Genomic DNA, 24,310 nt, shown 5'->3' on the forward strand with positions numbered 1-24,310 from the left:
AAGAACTCCTACGCTTGTACAGGAACATTGCAAGATGTGTTTCCTAGAGTGAATGTTTGAAAGGAGTGAGTCCTTGGCAGTATTTAATGTATAAAGAAGTTAGCTGGAAATATCCTTTGATTTAGCAAGAAAGTAATCATTGATGATAACAAGGAGAATAGTTTCAGTGGAATCATTTGCCCTTAAAGGAGAGGAGATCAATAGGAAAACTACTAGAGAGGACTATGGGTCCAAGAGAGGAAATTTTAAATTAATGTTAGGAACTGGAACATGTTTGAATGCTGAAAGTCGATACCAAACGAGAGTGGAAAATTGGACTGAAATGGTTTCTACAGCACAAATGGAGAGACTAGCCTTAGAAGGAAGAAAGAACACCTTCTGGCATAAGCAAAACGATGATGGAAGTTGCTGGTAAATTTATGAATCTGTCAGTGGTAAATAAATAAGTACTTAACATGATAACTTCTTTTTTCTCTAAGAAGTCTAAGATAAAGTCATCTGAAAATAAGTACTTGCCTGAGAACTTCTTGCTTCTCTGGGAAGCCTAAGATAAATTCATCTAAGATAATTCTCATTTGACAGATGATAAATGTGAGGCTCGGAAATGTGTAGGTAGGAATTTTGAGAAGCTCAAAGAAAGGTTGAAATAGTTGCTGAAATTGGGAAAGAGATATTACCAGAAATACACAAAAATTACTAGTCAAAGGAATGCCAAAGACCAGTTAAGGCTGACTACCTTCATTGTGGTGCAACCACTCCATTCTGTTTTGGATTCTCTACAGTGGTTGTCAGCATCTTGGTGTAAGTGGTGTCAATTTAGCGAGTTGAGTTTGTTAGGGTTAAGATTAGGCTAAGTGAATTTGAGAGGGGATTGAAGAAAGTGTATTATGGAAATAAATGTCCATAAAACTAAATTAAGTGGAGAAAGAAGGAATGACAAGAGGTGAGGGTGATGGATCTGGAGAAAATAGTAGAGTGATCAAGGAAACAGGAAGTCCCTCCGAGGCCAAAGAATAGCTAACTGAAAGAACTAGAGGCAGAAGAAGTTGCGGTCCAAGGAGAATTATTTGAGTTTAAGATTTCAGACACAGAGATTTTCAGGTGAAGGCAATATAAAAATGTGGCCATGGGAGAAGGCAGAAGTGAAGCAAAAGTGAAAGTAATTGCAGATGAAGTCAGGGGATTGAGAGACAAAGATATTGAATGCAATATCCAAATTAATATGTGCTAGAGAGGCAATTAATGTGGACTATTACGGGATAAACATCTTCATGGAATAAAGGAAGAGATTTAAAGGTAATGGCAAGCAGGTGGGAAGAGGAGGGTTGTACTGGGTGTCATACACAGAGGAGGTATTTTAGTTTATTTTGTTTTATCTTATTTTATTTTATTTTATTTTGAGACGGAGTTTCACTCTTATTACCCAGGCTGGAGTGCAATGGCACAATCTCGGCTCACTGCAACCTCTGCCTCCCGGGTTCAAGCAATTCTCCCACCTCAGCCTCCCGAGTAGCTGGGATTACAGGCATGTGCCACCACACCCAGCTAATTTTGTATTTTTAGTAGAGACGGGATTTCTTCATATTGGTCAGGCTGGTCTCGAACTCCTGACCTCAGGTGATCCGCCCGCCTCGGCCTCCCAAAGTGCTGGGATTACAGGCGTAAGCCACGGCGCCTGGCCAGAGGAGGTATTTTAAGCCAAGCATTTTGGATTGATGATCTACAGAAGTAGCCCTGTGGGGTGAAGAGGCCGTAGATTTATTTCCCAACCATACTATTTATAAGATGAGGAGACTATGCAGATTTCACTTGAGACATCTTTGAGGAAACATATGGGAGAGAAGAAAAAAAGTCAACCATAATTTCATCATCCTGAGCAATCACTGTCAACACATTTAAGAAGACTGTCCTGGAGACGGGGTAAGAATTGGTCAGAGTGGGAAGACAACTGAGACAAAAAGGTAATGCAGTCTTCGTTGTAGGGCTGCAGTGGTCGGGATAGAGAGAGAGAGATGATTGTAAGCAAGATCAGCATTCAGATAGTTAATTTTCCTACCTCAAATGTCATTTCCTAAACATTATCTGTATTATAAGGGCTGCAAGTTTTTTCAGTGCTCCTTTTGCTTATCCTTCATTATGAGCCCCAATATATCTAGCTATTGTCATCTGCTGCTTCCTTCATCTGGGAGTTGGATTACCTGAAAAGATTTTCATCTGGTACATGGTTGTTTTATATAACGCTTCTGCTCCAGTCACTAGCTTTACCATTGCTTGTTTCAGCACTTGGGAGTCGAGCAGGAACTATGATACAGCTAGACCATTCGTTTCCAGTCTTTTCGGTTTTTTTTACTGGGAAGGTACACTCAGCCACTGTCCCTGTAGTCTAACCATTCAAGAATTGGATTAGGTGAATACATAAAACAGCATGTAGGCAGTCCTTGAAGGGAGTTATACTTTGGTTAACTGATTTATTCCTTTGCCAGAACCATTGTGTGTATGCATGGCCATGCGTATGTGTGCGTGTATACACACAACTGATAAAAGCAACCAGCGTTTGAGTGTTTCCTACAGCCTTGTGTGTAGGCAGCTCTAGCATCACTGTAAAAGGTATGCGGTGGGCTGACGACTCAAGTTGGCAGCTGTTCCTCTTAAAACTGCTTCACTCCATGAAGTCAGCAGAGAAAGCAGTCAGTCTCTTGAACAGTTTATGCCTGGTTCTTGGCATCATTAAAATTCTGTTCTTTTCAGTGTTGCTTCATTTGCACAATCAGGATGCTCCGTTTTCAGACATTCAAAGTGTTGAAAATTTTTTTAATAAATAGATTTTCATTGGCATCAAGTCCAAGTTGAGTGATTCTCAATGTAGGAAATAACAGTATAATTTTTGGAGTATGTATTTTGGAGAGTCTTTCCCCCTCTTTGGCTAACCTTTGTAAGTGTTATATGGTTTCCAAAGCTCTTTCATGTATGATGATTTATTGCTTATACAACACCACAAAGTTGGTACCGTGAGCTCTAATTCAAGATCAGTAAATGGATTTTCAGAAGGGAAAAGTGAACAATCAAAGGCTGGTTTCGGTGATGGAGTCAAGCTAAAAACACTGGTTGTCTTAGACTCTAGGGATCTTTCTATTATAACATGGTAACTTTGAGCAAGTGAGGTCTCTATTGTATTAACAGTTTGTATTGTAATAAAGTGTGTTCAACTTTTTCTCAAGCTGTATTTCAAGGTTAACACTTTATAAATGGAACTAAATCATTGGAGCTTAGGCCAGGGGCTGGAAGTTTATTTATTGATCTAGTCTGGCCTCTTGGGTTTCTTGATATTTGGTAAAATGGTACATTTCTCAGTACATTGGAAAGGCATTTTATTTCCTCTAGAATGAAGAGCACTGCTCTTGAATTTTAAAGCGAGGTCCAACAGAGATCATGGGCCCAAAGCACAAACCACAAGCCTCACGTTGCTACAGGAAAAAAATCATAGGTAATTTCTGAAGAGCCTTTCTATCAACTTCTACTTAAATCTGTGCCTTGAAATGATAGGCACATATGATAGCTTCTGGAAGTATGCATAGTAATTAAATGTATCATTCTATTCCAAACTATACTGAATGAAGTTACTAATGATTAAATGTGTTTATTTTCAAAGATATTATACTTTACAATGTCATAATATTTGAATGTTAAAATATATGTAATAGAAGTAAATTATATGCTATCAAAGTACTTTACATGGATCATTTATTAATCACAAAGGATAATAGATCCCTTTACCATGGAAAGATGGAAAGATCTGACAAATACCACCTAAACCATATTACCCAAGTTAACATCTCCAATAATAGAACCAATGAATATCAAGTGCTTCCTGGTGTGATGTAGCTTGAAGGACACAATATCAAATCTGTGATATACCAGCCTAAAATGCTTAATCATTATCTAATCATGAGAAACATCAGACCAACCAAGATTGAGAGACATTCTACAACAACACTGGTGACACTCTTCAAAATGACAATGTCATAAAAGACAAAGGCAGAGGCATGAGAAATAAATGCAATAACTTACATCTGGATCAGAAAAACAAAATTGTTATAAAAAATATTATTAGGAAAATTTGCAAGATAAAAATTGAACAAGAAAAAAAGTGGTATCTTTGAGAACAAGTGAGAACATTTTGACATTTCTTTAGAAATAATATGAATTGATTTGAAAATTATTTTGAAAATAATTTAGAGCTAAGAAAGTAATGGCTTGCGGAGAACCCTTTGAGTTTGCTTCATTATTTAAAAATTCAATAAAATAAGTAATTATTCCTATTTTAAGTGAAACAGTTTATTATAAAACCTTATTTCAGCTCAGGCAATTTCTAATCTATGCAGATTAATTTCACTTGCATAGAATTTTGAGATTTGGGTAGACTTTATTTCAATTTGTTTATTTTAATCTTTAAGAGAGTCATTTTGTTATTTATGCATGATCCCTTTTAAGAAGTGTTTATTTGTTTACTGATTTGGAAGTATTATTATGTGCAAAGATTCTAAAACAGCCATCCAGATGCCATTGACACGGTAATGTGGGGATTTTCATTAATTTATACGATTTATCTGTTTTCATATTTCACCATTTACTATTCCACCTCCACACCTGGAAGAGTATCTGATCTTGGCTAAGTATCTTTGTGAGGATACATTTATCTGTCCATTTGTTAACATAAATATTTATTGAGTAGCTATGAGATTGTCTAGTACCTTTGCCGGGTACTAGAACTTTACAGAAAAGCTGTATCGTGTCTTTCTCCTCATACAGGCAATGTATTGACTCATGAAACTTCCAGGTAGTTCTCCAATGTTCTCAGCTGGATGATAGGTAAATATTTAGAGTTTTTAGAATGAGAACATGAGGAGACCTACTTCTATACCTGTGTTTTCTCATGAGGATTATATTTGTCAATAATCTTTACCCTCCATTTGTACCTATTTATTCATGATGCATTATGACAAATGTATATAGTTATACAGCTGCCACCACAGTTAAGATATAGAACATTTCGATCATACCAAAAAGTTTCTCCTGCTCCTTTATACTTATCTTTACTTCCCATCACCCTTGGCCCTTGATCTGATTTTTGTTCTTGTGAGTTTGCATTTTCCACGGAATTATATAAATGAAATCATACAGTGTGTGGCCTTTGGGGTCTGGCTTGTTTCACTTAGCATAATGCTTTTGAGTTTCAACCATTTTATTTATTTATTTTTATTTTATTTTTAATCTGTTATTTTAGGTTCAGGGGTACATGTGCACATTTGTTATACAGGTAAACTCGTATCATGGGGGTTTGGTGTACAGATTCTTTTATCATACAGATACTAGGCCTAGTACCTAATAGATACTTTACTGATCCTCTCCCTCCTCCCACCCTCCACCCTCAGGTAGGCCCCAGTGTCTTGCTGTTCTCCTCTTGCATTCATGTGTTCTCATCATTTGACTCCCACTTATAAGTGAGAACATGCGGTATTTGGTTTTCTGTTCCTGCATTATTTTGCTAAGGATAATGGCCTCCAGCTCCATCCACGTCCCTGCAAAGGACATGATCTTATTCTTTTCTATGATGAGTTTCAGCCAGTTTTTGTGTGTATCAGTAATTTGTTCCTTTTTAGTGCGGAATAGTATCTCATTGTATGGATGTACTACAATTTATTTATTCATTCACCAATTGATTTGGTATTTATTTTCCAGTTTTTGACTAATAGTGAATAAATGCATTATTAGCATTAATATACTAGTATTTTGACATATAATTTCATTTCTTTTGGGTAATTAGCAAAAGTAGAATATCTGGGATGGATATTAAGTGGTATGCTTAAGTTTTTAAGACATGCTAAAGTCTTAGCATTTAGTTCCTAAGTGGCTGCGTCACCTTGTATTCCCATTAACAATGTATGAGATTTCCAGTTGCTCCTTATCCAAACTAGCACTTGATATTTTCAGTCTTCTTCATTTTAGCCATTCTAAGAGATGTATAGTAATCTAACATTGTAATTTTAGTTTTTCATCCAAATGTGCTTTTAGCAGCTTATTTGAGTTGTAATCGTTCTTTATATATTCTAGGTACAAACCCTTCTTTAGAATGTTTTTTTGGAAATATTTTCTCCCAGTTCTGTGGAGTGTCTGTGCTTTCTTTACAGTGTCTATTGAAGAAAAACAATTTGATGAAGTCCAAATTACTAATTTTTGTTATAGTGTGTGCTTTTTATATCTATATCTAATAAATCAGTAGCTAACTTAACTTCTCAAAAATATTCTCCTATGTTCTCCCCTAGAAGATTTAGTTTCAGCTCTGACATTTAGGTCTGTGATCAAAATGTCTTCCTAGGAATTTGTCTATGTCAACTGATGTGCATAATTGTTTGGCATAAATTTTTTCATAATGTTTTCTTATAATGCTTTTAACTTCCCTAGGATTGATAGTGATGTACACTCATTCCTAATTTTGGTAATTTGTTTCTTCTATTTTTTTGTCATATGGCCTAGAAATTTATCAATTTTTAGTGATTTATTTTTTCTATTTTTTTTTGTTTTCCATTTGATTGATTTCCCCTTTGATCTTTATGGTTTCCTTCCTGTTTGCTTTGTCTCTAGTTTGTTCCTTTTTTTTCTAATTTCTTTCTCTTTTTTTGAGACAGGGTCTCACTCTGTCTCCTAGGCTGCAGTGCAGTGACATGATCAGAGTGGTGCAGTGGAGTGCAGTGGCAAGGCTCACTGCAGCTTTGACCTCTCTTGCTGAAGCGATCCCCCCACCTCAGCTTCCCAGGTAGCTGGGACCACAGGCATGTACCAACAAGCCTGGCTATTTATTTTTATTATTTTTTATTTTTGCATTTAATTTATTTATTTATTTATTTTTATTTTTTTTTTGACTCCTGGGCTCAAGCAATCTTTCCACCTCAGCTTGTGAAAGTCATGGGATTATAGGTGTAAACCACTGTGCACAGCCCCTCTTTTCTAAATTCTTAAGGTGAAAACTTATTATTGGTTTGAGATTTTTATTTTTTTAATATAGATCTTTAGAGCTATAAATTATCCTTTACTACTTTGGCTACATCAAAGGAATTTTAATATACCTGATTTTGTCTTAATTCAGCTCAAATACTTTCTAATTTTCCTTTTTATTTCTTCTTTACCTATATGGCATTTAGAAAATTATTGTTTAATTTTCTATTTTTTTGTTGTTTTGCTAATTTAATTCCATTGTTGTTGGAGAACATACATTAAAATAATAATATTAAATTTATTCAGATTTGTTTTGTGGATCAGAATATGATCTATTCTGAGGAACATTTGTGTATGCTTAGGAAAAATAAACATGTAAGGCTGGATACGGTGGCTCATGCCTGTAATCCCAGCACTTTGGGAGGCCGAGGTGGGTGGATCACCTGAGGTAGGGACTCGGAGACCAGCCTGACCAACGTGGAGAAACCCCATCTCTACTAAAAATACAAAATTAGTTGGGCATGGTGGCACATGCCTGTAATTCCAGCTACTTGGGAGGCTGAGGCAGGAGAATCTCTTCAACCAGGGAGGCAGAGGTTGAGGTGAGCTGATATCACACCATTGCACTCCAGCCTGGGCAACAAGAGCAAAACTTTGTCAAAAAAAAAAAAAAAAAGAAAAAAAAAGAAAAAAGAATGTATTATGTTGCTATTGGGTGCAGTATTCCATAAATGTTAATTAGGTCAGGTTGGTAGATAGTGTCGTCTAAGTCTTCTACATCTTTATTGATTTACTGTATAGTAGTTCTATAAGTTATTGAGAGTACTGAAATCTGTAACTTGAAATGTTGAATTGTTTATTTCTTCTTTTGATTCTGTCATTTTTGTCTGTATATAATTTGATGCTCTATGTCTAGGTACATACATGTTTATAACTATTATGTCTCCCTGACATATTGATCCTTTCATTAGGAAAGTTCCTCTTGTATCTCGTAATTTTTTTTTTTTTTTGTCTTAAAATCTGTCTTTTTTTCTAGTGGTAATATAGCCACTCCAGCTTCTATAGTTACCATTTGTATGGTTTGTCTTTTTCTATCTTATTACTTTCAATGTATATATTTCTCTTGTAGACATCATATAGAAGTCTACTGATTTTCAGCCAATCTGGCAATCTCTAGCCTTTGATTATAGATTTTATTCCTTTTATTTTAATGTCATTATTGATATAGTTGGATTTATGTCTGCCTTTTTTTTTTTTTTTTTTTTTTTGGAGATGGAGTCTCGCTCTGTCACCCAGGCTGGAGTGCAATGGTGTGATCTCTGCTCACTGCAACCTCAGCCTCCCAAGTAGCTGGGACTACAGGCACCCGCCACCATGCCCGGTGGGGTTTTTTTGTATTTTTAGTAGAGACGGGGTTTCACAGTGTTCGCCAGGATGGTCTCAATCTGCTGATCTCGTGATCCGCCCACCTCGGCCTCCCAAAGTGCTGGGATTACAGGCGTGAGCCACCGCACCTGGCTTATGTCTGCTATTTTATTTGCTTTCTGCATCTCTTTTTGTTGTTGTTGTTGTTCCTCTATTGCTCCTTTACTGCTTTCTTTTGTATTAAATATGTTTTGGTGCTTTGTTTCAATTCTATTATTAAAAAAAATTTCCCCATTGTTTTCTTAGTGGTTACTCTAGGGATTACTATACGCATCTTAAATGATCACATTCTACTTCAAATTAATACTGACTTAATTCCAGCAAAATATAGCAACTTTCCTTCAATACAGCTTTACCTTTCCCCCTTCCCTTTTGTGTTACTATTGTCTTATAAATTACATATGTGTTATAAACTTAGCAATATAGTGTTATAATTGTTGCTTTATACAATATATTTTTAAAGACATTAAGAGAAGAAAAGATAAAATATCTTTGAGTCTTTTATATATACACATATATGGTTCAGTGTTCCTACTTTCTTCCTATGAATTTGACTTACTGTCTGGTATCACTCCTTTCAGCCTGAAAGATTCATTCAGTATTTCTTTTAAGGTAGATCTAGCAACAGATTCTGTAAGTCTCTCTTTATCTCACAGTAATGTTATTTCATCTTCATTTATAAAGGATAGTTTTGCTGGACAGAATTCTTGGCTAACTTTTTTCTTTTAGCACTTTGAATATGTCATATACTTCCTTTTGCCCTCCAGATTTCTAATTTGAAGTCAGCTGTTGTATTGTTGTGCCCGTGTATATCATGAGTCATTTTTTTTTTTCTGCTTTCAAGATTTTCTCTTTGTCTTTGGCTTTTAGCAGTTTGACTATCATCTGTATACATGTAGATCTCTGTGTTTATCTTACTTGGGGCTGATTGAGCTTCTTGGATCTATAAATTAAGGTTTTTCATCTAACTTGGGAAGTTTACCATCACAGTTTCTTCCTTTTTTTCTCTTCCTTTATCCTCTCCTCCCTTCTCAAATTCCCATGGAAATACGTTGGTATTCTTGATGGAGTCCCATGCATCTGGGAAACTTGATTATTTTTCTTTTTCTATTTTTTAAATTGGATAATTTCCATTGATATATCTTAAGTTCTTTGATTCGTCTGTGTTCTCAAATCTTCTGTTGAATTAATCTTGTGAATTTTGCATTTTGCTTATTGGACTTTTCTCCTCTAGAATTTCAGTTTGGATGACTGGGTGTATGGCTCAGGGGTAGAGAATTTGACTAGAATTTCAATTTGGTTCTTTAGTATCTATTTCTTCAGTGATATTCCTTATTTGTTGAGTCATTGTCATAAATTTTCCTTTTAATCTTTTAAATATGGTTTCCTTTAGCTTTTGATCATATTTGTAATAGCTACTTTGAAGTCTTTGTCTGCTAACTCCAACATCTACACTCATTTAAAGTCATTTTCTTTTGACAGCTTTTTTTTTTTTTCCCAGAGTGTGGGAAACACTTTCCTATTCTTTTGCATGTCTCATAAGTCTTTGTTGAATGCTGGACATTTTAGGTATTTATGTTGTAGCAATTTTGGATTCTTGAGGTTTTATTTTTGTTTGTTTATATATTTTTTCATTAACTTGCTTAGACTATAGAATCTGGCTCTCCTGTAATGTGTAGTATGTGGTCATTGTTCTCTTCGTTCAATTTTTTTCCTAATTTTTATTTTTATCCTGCATTATTTATATCCTGCCTGTGCTCAATCTGTATAGCTTAGCACTCAGGCAATAATTGGGTAGAGGTTTTGCTTAGACACTTCAAGCTGTCTGACTCTCACACTCTGTCAGTGAATTTGTGTGTGGGTTGAGAGCACACTTAAAATTCAAGCAGTTTTACGTCTACCTCGGCTTTTACTCTCCACTGGGCCCTTTCATTTCATCCTGCCAATACACACATTTTCCTAGTCAGTGAAAGATGTGTGGAGAGCTTTTCTTGTACTTCTAAGGTGATATCATTTCCAGAACCATGTCCTTGTGAAATTTGTGGTTGGCTTCTCACTTGCCCTAGAACCTAAGGCTAGCAAGACCGTGGGTTTCTCCCTTTCGTTTTATACTGAGTTTGCTACTTTTACTGACAACTTTGCTGAGCATGAGTTTTCTGCTCTGCTTCAGATCAAGTTAGCCCTCTTTGGCAGTGAAGCTGCTGGGTTTTAGTCTAGACATATACCCTTACAATTACCATTCTCATCTACTGAACCAGACAGTGGGGATGAGAGCAGCCCCAGGCAAGAAGGTCACAAACTCTCATAGTTCTTGCCTGAAGTTCTGGGAGCTTTTCTTGGATAAGTGCTTTTCTGTTTATTGTTTGCCTTTGGTCACTTTTTGGAGCTCTGAAATGGTTGTTTGTGACCATTTTTTCCTAGCTTTATATATGTTTGTTGGTGGCAGAATTTGCCAAAATCTTCACTCTGTCATACATTGAAAGCCCTATGAACCGTAAGGATTTTAAAATAAATATGTATGTATGTATGACTTTTTTGTGGTAAACGAAATGATATCCAGCTAATTTAGTGAGCTAATGATGAAAACCTATAAATCAAACAATAAGATAATTGAAATTGATAAAGATTTAAATTAGAAAGTAAATTCAATATCAAGTTTCAGGAGAAGAAACGTTTAAGAAGCTTCTGAAAAAAAACTATCTCAGGTGCTCTCTTATGAGGTTTGCTCTAAAGGGTACAGGCATCATACACTATATGACCATGCATAATCAGAATTTAATTATGTTTTAAAAATCAGAGCTAGAAGAGACCTTAGGTGTTCTCTCATCCAGTGGTCCCCAAATACTGGGCTGTAGATTATTGGGGCCTTTGGGACCTGTGAAAATGTTTTCTCTAATCTATAGCACAATTAAAAAAAAGTAACAATTTAACATGCTTTTCATAAAGCTAAATCTGTTTAATTTAAAGGACTACATTTTAGCCAACTTAACATTTTCTTCCTACATCTTGATATTAAAATATTCCTTCTATTCTGTGAAATGCTGGTAATAGAAGAATATACATATCATAGTCTTATTTAGCAAAATTATTTTTTTTTCACTGCATGTTATTCTCTAGCATTTTGAAAATTCACTGCAGCTTCTGATAAATTACATGCTTTTCTCAATTTTACTGTTTTTTTAGTGTAAAAAATATCATTTTTATGATAAAATATAGTTTATTCTTCATGAGAAAGGCTTTTTATATAACTAACAGGAAAATGAATTACTGCTTTCCCTTTTGTGTAATTTGGCTATTTGAATTAATTTTTTACCAGTTTTCTGAATGATAAAACCTTGTTTGGGCTGGGGAAAAATTCATCCATAGCTCTTAAATCTTTCTGTCTTAAATCAATTTAGCAATAATTTTTATAATGAGCAATCTAGAATAATGTTCATATAATTTTTTATGATCTTATCACAAAACTTGTATTCTAAAGATCCAGAGCTTTGTATGCATATGCAAGGGATTTATATACCATGTCATTTTTCTTATATTGTATGATAAGCAACCAGCTCGTTCTTAACTCTGTCAGTTCATCCTGTGTCCTGGAAATACATGAGCTCTGCTCTGTTGGAGTCACATTTATTCATTAATAATCTTTAAATGAGTGATTTGCTGGTGTCAGCTTCATTGGTCCAGATATAAGAGATAGGAAGGTGAGTATGGAACACTCAAGCAAGAGAGAAAGCAAAAGTTTCCAGTGAACTGATAAGTGCTACCAGGGAGGATGTGCAAAGGGTCAAGTAAGTTCGGATGACAGAAACATTAACATTGGACAGTTCAAGGGAGGCATCTGTGAGGAGGTGACCAGTTTGAGCTGGATTTTGAATAATGAGTGTGGTTTTCTATGCCACTCTTCTAGTGTCAGACACTAATCAAGTCACTTAAACATTTCAGGTCCCAACTATCTAAGTCTTAGGTCTAAAGTTCTGCTCTTTCAGATCAGTGCAGGTCCGACTATTTTATTAGATCAATAATACATAGAAAGTTATGATCTCATGTATCATAGGCTCTCTGAATTTGCCTTAAGAAGCACAATAAGGGCTTCTCTTTGCCAGTTTCCTGAGAAAATGCTATGGAAATGAAAGTATTCTTTTTAATTAGCGATTATTAATCTGCTTGGTTATAATAATAATAGCAAATACAGACATCATTTACTATGTATTAGAAAATGTGCTAAACTAGGGATTGGCAAACTTTTGCCTGTGGGCCAAATCTGACTCATTGCTTGTTTTTGGATGGCCCACAATCTAACGATGTCTTTTAACATTTTTAAATCTTGAAAAAGGAATAAGAATATTTATTGACATTTGGAAATTATATAAAATTCAAATTTGTGTCCATAAATAAATGTTTATTGGAACACAACCATGCTCATTCATTTACATATTGTCCGTGGGTTGCTTTCGTGCTAAAATGGCAGAACTGAGTAGTTTCAACAGAGACCACATGGCCTACAAAGCCTGAAATTTTATTATCTGTTTCTTTATGGAAAAGGTTTGCAAGCCCCACATGATAATGAATCATTTTGAGGCCTAAGTTGAAGGTATTTCTCTCCAAATATGTTTGATGTTTACTTCCGGGATTACTACTAATGGGAAGCCATCTTTTATTACTTACTTCTTGGGGTGGGCTTTTCAAGGTTGTTTTTCCTTTGCATCCTGGGGCATTAGCAATAGGTAACCATTTTAAATTATTCACTCATTCCTTGGCTTTGAGGCTCCTAGATAATATCAATATTGAAATCTGAACCCAAAACCCATATGAGAGCTGGTCTGTGATTTTAAATTGCAGAGGAAGTCTTCCATTTTCCCCTGCAAGAGCCCATGTTGAGATGGATACATTACCCTGATTTTCTTGGCTAGTATGGGGATTATTTTTCCCAAGTCTATCCTTTTGCTGAAGTGTGTATAGTTCTCCAAGGATCCTTAGCAAGAGAAAAAATGAACTCAGAATTGAGATTTAAGAATGGGACAGAAGATGAAAAAAATCACTGAACAGGTAGATAAATCTAAATATTATGACTATATGAGACAATGTAAATGCCCAAATTTTAGAGGCAAAAAAAGCAAGAGTAAAATAAATTAATGAGCTTCAGTGACACGTAAAACAGATGGGGGTATTTTCAGAGTTAAATTGCTCTAAGTTTCCTGTATTCTCTGGAAGAAGTAGACATGTCCATTAGTTTGGGACAAATAAGCTTTAAGTCAAAAATTATTATTAGGGATAAAGTAGACCACTACGCAATGAAAAAAGCTACAAAGATACGCACATTCTAAACCTTTATGATAAAGTAAGAATATAATCTTGAATATAAAAAGGACTGTTTAGAGTCACAAGGAGAAACCAACAAATTCATGGTGAGAAGAATTAATACACTATTCTTGGTAAATGTTCCATTTACCAAAATTGACCAAGAAATAAGTCTCAGCAAATTTTCAAATATTAGTATCATCTGGACCACATTCTTCAACCATGATGCAATAAAGTTCGAAATCAGTAACAAACATTGTGTAAGGAAAAACTCACCACGTTTTTTTCTCTGCTCTGATACCACCGCAGAGGTCATCAACACAGAAGACTTCTGTGACCAAACATGTGCGTGTTTTTCCCCACATGCCAAGCAGCTGGGTGTCCTCCAATTAAATTCTGACACTATCTACCTGGAGGTAGTGTCAGATCCCCACCGCTTGAGGGCTCATTCCCCAAGACTGCCCCCGACCCCCAGACACCAGTCGTGAGTCTGGGCTTCCAGAACATCTGACCAACCTGCATCAAGTTGGGGTTCCCTCAGCCCCCTCTTTGGGTTTGATTAATTTGCTGAAGCAGCTCACAGAAATCAGGGAAACATACTTACAGGTTTGTTATGAAAGATATTACAAAGGATACAGATGAAGACATGTGAAGGGTGAGGGATGGGGGAAGGGGCATGGGAATGTCCACACCCTCCCTGGGCACACCACCCTCCAGTAACCCTCAAGTGTTCAGCTATCTGGAAGTTCTTTGAACTCTGTCCTCTTGGGTTTCTATAGAGGCTTCATTACACAGGCATGATTGATGAAACCATTGGCTATTTGTGATGAACTTGACCTTCAGTCTCTGTTCCCTCCTTGGAAAGTCTGAAAGTCCCAACTCTCTAATCCTGCCTTGATCTTTCCTGTGACCAGCCCCACTCTGAACCTATCAAACAAAAGATCCACAGAACTTTGGATATCCCAAAGGTTTTAGGAGTTACAAGCCAGGAACTGTGAGTGAAAACCAATATATAACCATATATATGGTTATGTATAAATATTTATACATGGTTATATATATATATAGTTGTGTATATATGGTTATATATATGGTTATATATGTGTTTTTATATATGTAATTATAGATATGTGATTATATATGTGGCTACATATATGTATGGTTATATATATGGTTTATATATGGTTGTATATATCATAATACCACACATATATAAAGTACATATAACACCACAAACATATAAGAAAAAGTACCTGTGAACTTGAAAATTAAAGAAGAAATTATAATAGAATTATAAAATATTTGTAATTAAACAATGATAAAACAATACTGTATTTCAGAACTTATGATATGTAGCTAAAGTTCTCAGAGAAAAATTTATAACCCTAAATTCTTAGATTAATAAACACAAGAAATCCAAAAAAATTAAAGAGCGTATATGTGTGTGTACATACCAATTTTTAAAAATAATTTCAGCTTTTATTTTAGATTCAGATTCAGGGAGTACATGTGCAGGTTTGTTACCTGAGTATTTTGTGTGATACTGAGGTTTGGGATGTCAGTGATCCCATCACCCAGATAGTGAGCATAGTACCAACAGTTTTTCAACCCTTACCTCCCTCTCTCCCCACTTCTAATAGTCTCCAGTTCTATTTTTGCCATCTTTATGTTCATGTGTACCCGATGTTTAGCTCCCACTTATAAGTGAGATCATGCAGTATTTGGTTGTCTGTGCCTGTGTTAGTTCACTTAGGATAATGGCCTCCAGCTGTCCATGCTGCTGCAAAGGACATGTTTTTATTCTTTTTTATAGCTGCATAGTATTCCATGACGTATACGTATGTACCACATTTTCTTTATCCAATCCACTGTTGACAGGCACCTAGGTTGATTCTATGTCTTTGCTATTGTTAATAGTGCAGCAATGAACATGTGAGTGCATTTGTCTTTTGAGTAGAACAATTTGTTTTCTTTTGGATATATACCCAGTAATGGGATTGCTGGGTTGAATGGTAGTTCTGTTTTAAGTTCTTTGAGAAATCTCCAAACTTCTTTTCACAATGGCTGCACTAATTTACATTCCCACCGGTGGTGTATAAGCATTCCCTTTGCTTCACAGCCTCACCAGCATCTGTTGTTTTTTGACTTTTTAATAATAGCTGTTCTGGCCGGTATGATATAGTATCTCATTGTGGTTTAGGTTTTCATTTCTCTGGTTATTAGTGATGTGGATCTCATTTTTTCATATATTTGTTGGCCACTTGTTTGTCTTTTTTGAGAAGTGTCTGTCATGTCTTTTGCCCACGTTTTTGTTTTTTGCTTGTTGCATTGTTTAAGTTCCTTATAGATTCTGGATATTAGACCATTGTCAGATGCATAGTTTGCAAATATTTTCTCCCATTCTGTAGGTTATCTGTTTATTCTGCTGATAGTTTCTTTTGCTGTGCAGAAAGTCTTTAGTTTAATTAGGCCCCACTTTTTTGTTTTTGTTACAATTGCTTTTGAGGACTTAGTCATAAATTTTTTTCCAAGGCTGAAAATGACCAGAAAGGTGTTTCCAAGTTTTTCTTCTAGGTTCTTATAGTTTGAGGTCTTATATCTAAGTCTTTAATCCATCTTGAGTTAATTTTTGTATATAGTAAAAAGTATGGGTACAGTTTCATTCATCTGCATATGGCTAGCCAGTTATGCCAGCACTATTTACTGAATAGGGAGTCCTTTCTACACCACTTATTTTTGTTGACTTTGTTGAAGATCAGATGGCGGTAGGTGTGTGACATTATTTCTGGATTCTCTATTTTGTTCCATTGGTCTATGTGTCTATTTTTGTACCAGTACCATGCTGTTTTGGTTACTGCAGCCTTATAGTATAGTTTAAAGTTGGATAATGTGATGCCTCCCACTTTATTCTTTTTGCTTAGGATTGCTTTGTCTATTCAGGCTCTTTTTTGGTTACATATGAATTTTAGAATTTTTTTTCTAATTCTGTAAAAAAATGAAATTGGTAGTTTAATAGGAATATCATTGAATCTGTAGATTTCTTTGGGCAGTATGGCCATTTTAACAATATTGATTTTTTCAATCCATTAGTGTGGAATGTTTTTCCACTTGTTTGTGTAATCTATGATTTCTTTCAGCAATGTTTTGTGATTCTCCTGGTAGAGATGTTTTACCTCCTTCGTTAGATGTCTTCCTAGGTATTTTATTTTTTTGTGTGGCTGTTGTAAATAGATTGCATTCTTGATTTGGCTCTCAGTGTGAATGTTATTGGTGTAGAAAAATGCTACTGATTTTTGTGCATTGATTTTGAATCCTGAAACTTTACTGAAGTCGTTTATCAGTTCTCCAAACCTTTTGGCAGAGTCTTAAGGGTTTCCTAGGTATAGAGTCATATTATCAGCAGAGAGAAATGGTTTTTCTTCTCTTCCTATTTGGATGCCTTTTATTTCTTTATCTTGCCTGATTGCTCTGGCTAGGACTTCACACATACTGATGTTGAAGTCAATGATGGACTGCCTGTATGACGGTGGTCCTATAAGATTATAATGGAGCTGAAAAATTCCTGTTGCCTAGTATTTACTATACTATTTACTATTATTTTAGAATGTATTCCTTCTGCTTATAAAAAAGAAAGTTAATGGTAAAAAGAGCCTTAGGCAAATCCTTCAGGAGGTATTGCAGAAGAAGGCATTGTTATCATAGAAGATGACAGCGCCATGTATGTTGTTTCCCCTGAAAACCTGCCAGTGGGACAAGTTGGGAAGGTGAAAGACAATGATAGTGATGATTCTGACCCATCGTAGGCTTAGGCTAATGTGTATATTTGTGTCTTCATTTTTAATAAAAAAAGTTTAAAAAGAAAACAGTATTAAAATAGAAAAAAGTTTATAGAATAAGAATATAACAAGAAAATATTTTGTACAGCTCTACAATGTGTTTCTGTGTTAAGTGTCAAAAAGTTAAAGTTTAAAGCTAAGAGTCAAAACATTAAAAAATTTAAAGTTTATAAAGTAAAATATACAGTAAGCTAAGGTTCTAAGGTTAATTTATTGAAGAAAGAAAAGTATTTTTTAAATAAATTCAGTGTAGCCTAAGTGTATCATGTTTATAAAGTTTACAGTAGTGTACAGTAATGTCCCAGGATTTCACATTTAGTCACCACTCACTCACTGACTGACCCAGAACAACTTCCAGTCCTGCAGGCTCCATTCATAGTAAGTGCTCTATATAGATATACCAATTTTTATTATTTTATTCCATATTTTACTGTACCTTTTCTATGGTTAAATATGTTTAGATACACACATACTTAGCATTGTGCTGCAATTGCCTACATATTTAGTATAGTAGCATGCTGTACAGGTTTGTTGCCTAGGAACAATAGGTTATATCATATAACCGAGGTGTGAATTAGGCTATAGCATGTAGATTTGTGTAAGTACAATCTATGATGTTTGCACAATAATGAAATCCCCTAATGACACATTTCTCAGAATGTTTCCCTGTTGTTAAGCAACACATGACTGTATATGTGTATATAAGATAGTCTTTTCAAAGAACAAAATTTGGTTTTATTGATTTTTTCTATCATTTTTTGTTTTCCATTTCTTTTTTACCCTATTAGTTGTTTCTAATTTTGAGGGGTTTATTCTAACAGCTGAACTGGAATGCTTAGCTTTTTAACTTTTAGGTGGGCATACAAAGTGATACAGTTACCTTAGAGAGTAATGTGGCAGTATCTAGTAAAGCCAAAGATGTTTATATCCTAGTGCCAAAAAATAGTTCCAATCATACTTAAACACAGTTCATATTTGTGCACAAATAAAAAAAGAGTTGTACAAGATGTTTATATTAACATCATAAGAACCAAATATTACAAACGACCTAAGTAGCCATTAAGAGGAGAATGGATAGATAAATTGTGATACATTACTACAATGAAACACACACAGCAGGGAGGATGAATGAGCCAGAGCTCCATGTATTAATATAGATAGCTTCCATGTTGAATGACATAAAGCACATTGCATAAAGATACATACAGGCTAATACCATGTATATGAAGTTTAAAATCATGCAAAACAGTACTATGTATGTTTATAGGATACATGTCTATGTAGTAAAAAGTATAAAGGTGTTCATGGGAATGATAAACAACAAATTCAGAATAATGCAACTTTAGAGAGTGTAGAGAGAAGTACATACAGAGAAATATGTTTGTAATATTTTATTTAGATGGGTGATGAGTACATAAGTATTTTTAATCATAAATGTTTTACTTTTTTGGGTATCCAAGGTAGCAACGGAAACATTACTACATGAGGTATATACTAATTGAGAAGGAAAACTCTTAGATAAAACCTTTTATGATGATAGTAGTGGGGAAATGTGGGCATTTCAAAGGTAGTAAGATAATTTTTAATTGTTTGATCAGGTACAAAGTGTAAAAAATATAATAAATTAGAATACTTTATATTCCAACTTCATAAGCTTCAGTTTTATCTGTTTTAGCTTGAACTTACTTGAAGCTTTTTACTCAGAAGTACAAAATAAGATAACATTGAGAAAGCTAAAACATTGTGTCCTTTTCTTTGCATTGCATTTGAAGCTTGAAAAATAGAGTTGTTTAAAATTGTAATGATCTTAGAGATGACTTGGTCCAATTCTCCCACCCCCTCCTTTTATAAATGTCACAGTGATACAATCATCCATCCATTCACCCTCCATCCATCTGTTTATTCAACCAATAAATGCCCAATATTGTGTCAATCATTGGGGTGGTTGAAGTGATGACAAAGAAAGAAACCATGGTCCCTTTCCTACAAGTCTAGAAGAAAGAACTTTAGGGAAGAAAACAGTCACATAACCGTATGGGTAGAGATATATTACAAATGCTTCAGAAGCACAGAAGAGGGAAGTAATAACTTGGTCAGTGGAGGTACTTTTCAGCTGTGTTTACTGTAGAGATTATAAAATATTTATTTTTATTAAATGGAGCCAGCAATTTTATTACTCATTTGGACATATTTTAAGGTATACCTCAAAGATATTTTTAATTTTTTAACCATATGAGATATGTCTAATAAACATGGCAATAAGGTCCAATGGCATTCGGCCTTTTACATGTATTGTGCCAAATAAAGACACCAAGATTTTACCAGGCTCCTTATTCTTGAGGTTATTTCTGCTAGTCAGGAGTAGAGTCAAATGAGCTCTTTGTAAATCACTGTGTCAGATTTATAGAGAAAGGAAGCTTGTAAAAGTGTTTCTTGTGGTCATTAAATGCCCTTTGTTTTCTGCCTAGAGCTTGCTATATTGATGGTCTAACCAACATATCCAAGAAATTTATGGGGTTGTAGTTTTGATCTCACTCAGTGAGAGAGTCAGAAGGGAGTAGGGAAGAGAGGGCATTTGAGTACTCAGTGTCTTTACAGTATTCCCACAAATAAAATGCTTGGTGTTTGTATGAGTGGGCAAAGGAATATATACTTAAAGCCCTGAGTTGAAAACCGAAAATACATAAACTCTGTCATGTTGTTAGTTCTGTCACTCTGCGACATTGGGCAAATCAATCAGCCATTCCAAAGCAATCATTAAGTATGCAGGTCTCTTTATCTGCTTTATCCCCACGGCCATTCAGTTACCATACAGGCAGGGCTTTTCCTAATATTTTGTGTCTCAAAAAAAAAAGTTTGACTATTGACTTACAATTGAGCTTTTCCTAAGTCTCTTATTTAGTAAGCATTCTCTCAATTACCTTATTTTAAACAATCACCACCAACAAAAAGGGACCTGTAATAAATTAGCAACAATTTCCTAATATTATCAACATAAATATGGCCGTATTTAAGGCCAAGAACCAAGCTATCAAGGAAGGTTGAGGAGTGTTTAAGGGAAATTAAAAGATTAGTCTGAGAGTAGTCAACATACAGTGTATTCTAAACTTGGATCACGCTCTCTCTAGCTAAATTATGACATATTGCAAGATTTGGGATTCTTGTGAAACACTGTTAAAAATTGAATTTAAGGTCAGATGCAATGACTCATGCCTGTAATCCCAGCATTTTGGGAGACTGAGGCGGGCTGATCACTTGAGGTCAGGAGATCGAGACCAGCCTGGCCAACATGGTGAAACCCCTTCTCTAATAAAAATACAAAAAATTAGGTGGGTGTGGTGGTACATGCCTGTAATCTCAGCTACTTGGGAGGCTGAGGCAGGAGAACCACTTGAACCCGGGAGGCAGAGGTTGCAGTGAGCTGAGATCGTATCAGTGTATTCCAGCCTGGGTGACAGAAAAAAAGAAAGAAAGAAAGAAAGAAAGGAAAGAAAGAAGAAAGAAAGAAAGAAAGAAAGAAAGAAAGAAAGAAAGAAAGAAAGAAAGAAAGAAAGAAAGAAAGAAAGAGAAAGAAAGAAGAGAAGAGAAGAGAGGAAAGGAAAGGAAAGGAGGAAGGAAAGAAGAAGGAAAGAAAGAAAGAAGGAAGGAAGGAAAGAAGGAAGGAAGGAAAATTGAACTTAAGCTACAGATTCTGGTGGGAAACAGTTTCATATTGGACCAAGCTCAATCGAGGCCTGCACATCACATATGAAAAAAAGGGAAAAGAAAACTTTTAGGTGAACAACTGAATTGTGGCCAGTTCTTAAGCCTCTTCAAAATCTCTCAGTGATGACACCTGGGAAACAAAGGTAAATAGCCACTGTAGGGGAAGAAAAATATATTTTCCTCACCTTTATGACAAAAGACAGATTAACAAGAGAAAAGCATACAAATTTATTTAATATAACTTTTATGTGACATGGGAGCCATTATAAGAAAACAAAGACCTAAAGAAATGGTTAAACTTGTATATTTTTGTGCTGGGTTTCATGAAGAGTATACAGTTATGGAGAAATATAACTGGACAAAGAGTGCATGATCTAATGGTAATAAACTGGGGAAATTTAGCAAGGCCTGTCTATTCTGATTCTTCTCTTTATGCTATGTCTTCAGAGATAAAGATGTTCCTTTCCACTGGGAATAGAGAGGGCGCCTCTCGTATGAGGGTTTCATGAGGGTTTTACAGTCTGCTTTAGGGAAAAGTCAAAACCCTTCCTAGGTTTTATGACCTGCTCCAGAGGAGATGAGTGGTGTTTGGGGAGAGGGGAGGTGAGAGTGGCCTTTCTACTTCTGCAGTTTTCTTAAATTCTTTCAGCTTAAAATATTTTGGGGGTAGTGTGTCCTAAACCCCATCAGCCAATCAATTCCAATTATGGGCTTCAGGGTGAGGGGCCGTCAGCATTTGCAGATCCACAGATAATGGTTTAAAGGACAAGCAGGTGGGGAAAGGTGGCAGATAGATACCTCCTATAGGCCAGCACCTCCCTCTGCTCCTTGGACTGGTCTTCAGTGTTATGACTGGTGTTTGAGTCATCATGGCACCTCACAACTTTGCTTAGTTTCCTAAACATTCAATTGATATGAACACCCCTGACCCCCCATTCTCATTACCCACATCTTCTCTTTCCATTTTCCTTCCATATAACTTACTAATTTATTTTGTTTGTTGTTTAAGCCTTTGCCTCTTCTCTCTAGAATGTAATTTCCCTTAGGGCATTAATCTTTGTCTGGTCACTCCTTTCATTTTGGCCAAAAACTGGTCAGGAAATATTTGTTGAATTAAGTTTAACTAACTCTGGCAAGATGAACATAAAATGGTTATTTTATTTGGAACAAATATTACTCCTGAAAAGCAAATGGAAAGGAAGTGTATATCAATTTTTTTAAGTAATCTAAAATAAAATGTTTAAAAAAATTTTTTTAAGACTAGTCAAATTCAGTGGTGAGAAGCGGGGAAAGGGTAGAACAAGGAGTTTAATCTGTGAACAGTCAATTGAGATAATTCATTACCTTTGGGCCAGCCAAAACATGTCTGATATAAAAAAATTATTATAGAAGTGTGATGTGACAAGTCAGTTTATTAATATGTAGATGTTTCCAATGATAAGTATGTGAGGTGAGGAATCTGTTAATTAGCTTGATTTAATTATTTCACAACATACACATACATCAAAACATCACATTGTACACTGTAAATAAATAGTTTTGTTAATTATATCCTAATAAAGCTGGGGGATAAATTATTTTTAAAAATCTCTTTGCCTGAGCTAACTCAATGAAGATAAGAGTTTGCCTGCTTTGGGTCGGTTTCTGAAGGTTTTTGGAGTGAACCAGAGAATGAGTTGATACGATTTGGATGTTTGCCTCCTCCAAATCTCATGTTGACATATAATCCACAATGTTGGAGGTGGGGCCTAATGAGAGGTGTCTGGATCATGGAGGTGGAATCCTCATGGCCTGGTACTTTTCTTGTGATAGTGAGTGAATTCTCACGAGATCCAGTTGTTTAACAGTGTGTGGCACCTCCCTGCACCCCTCTCTTGCACCTACTCTTGTCATTTGAGACACCTGCTCCCCCTTTGCCTTCTGCCGTGATTGGAGGCTTCCTGAGGCCTCACCAGAAGCCAGGCAGATGCTGGTGCCATGTTTCTTGTACAACCTGCAGAACCACGTGCCAATTAAACCTATTTTCTTTATACATTACCTAGCCTCAGGTATTTCTTTATAACAATGCAAGAACAGCCTAACATGTGGCTAGAGGAAAATGAGGCCTAAGGGTTTGAATCATGGGGGAGACTGCTTATAATAGGCCACATCTATCTTTTAGTTCATAAAAGGCCACAGGTCAGGAAGAAGCATGTCCAACTAGAGAGGATGGAGGGTAATATGATGTTTCTGGGTGATAGGACTTAAATCTGATTTCATGTCTGCAATATGGATAATTAGACATTTTAGAAATTAGATTAGAAATGAGACACTTAAAACGATAAGTATTCTGTTTGTTTGGGCCTTGTGGGTACAGAATTCATAGGAGTTATAGTGAATAAAATAAAGGTAAAATTTCCCAAGTTCCTCCTCCTCCTCATTTTTTCTCCCCAAGTATTATCTTCTGTTAGCAGATTGATTTTTTATACTTTATTTTTTAAATTTTTACAAAGTTTGTATTTTTCAAACCATTTTATGTGTACAAACTAAAAATTTGTACATAATATTTAAAAAATAAAATATCATTGTCAGGGCTAAGGGGAAAGTTCCCATTTGCCAGCAGAAGCTTTGCTGAAAAATCAACTCACAAAAATCAGAATAGGAGAAAAGGCATACAAATTTATTTAACGTGTATACATGGGAGCCCATAGGTACAGGGAGAATTTTCTATTTTTATGCTTAGGTTCAGTAAAATATGGACAGTTGTACAGAAATAGGATTGGACAAAAAGGGCTAATCTAATACTATAGGGGCCCTCTCTGAAACGGGGGTCTTAGGACCTACAGTCAAACAAGGTAGGTCAGATAATTTCTTCATGGCCAGTTTCTACACAGGAACGTTGGGGGAGGAAGTTAGAGTAATATATTTAGGTGTTATGGCTGGCTTTTGGAAAAGAGGTTCTGGTTTCTATGACCCGCCTTGGGGAAGATGGATTCTAGTTTCTACGACACCTTGGAGAGAATGGGAGTGAGAGACAGGAGGGCAGGAGAAGGTCAAAGAGAAACTTTTGCTTTTCA

General features: G+C 35.5%; 1 protein-coding gene across 2 annotated transcripts in view; it reads left to right on the forward strand.

Annotated features, from left to right (window-relative positions):
• The window catches only part of FRMPD4 (FERM and PDZ domain containing 4), a 902,085-nt gene that overhangs the window by 209,877 nt on the left and 667,898 nt on the right, over positions 1–24,310 (forward strand). The gene's annotated exons all lie outside the window — the stretch shown is intronic.

This window comes from Homo sapiens, chromosome X (assembly GCF_000001405.40).
Source record: "Homo sapiens chromosome X, GRCh38.p14 Primary Assembly".
Lineage (NCBI taxonomy): Eukaryota > Metazoa > Chordata > Mammalia > Primates > Hominidae > Homo > Homo sapiens.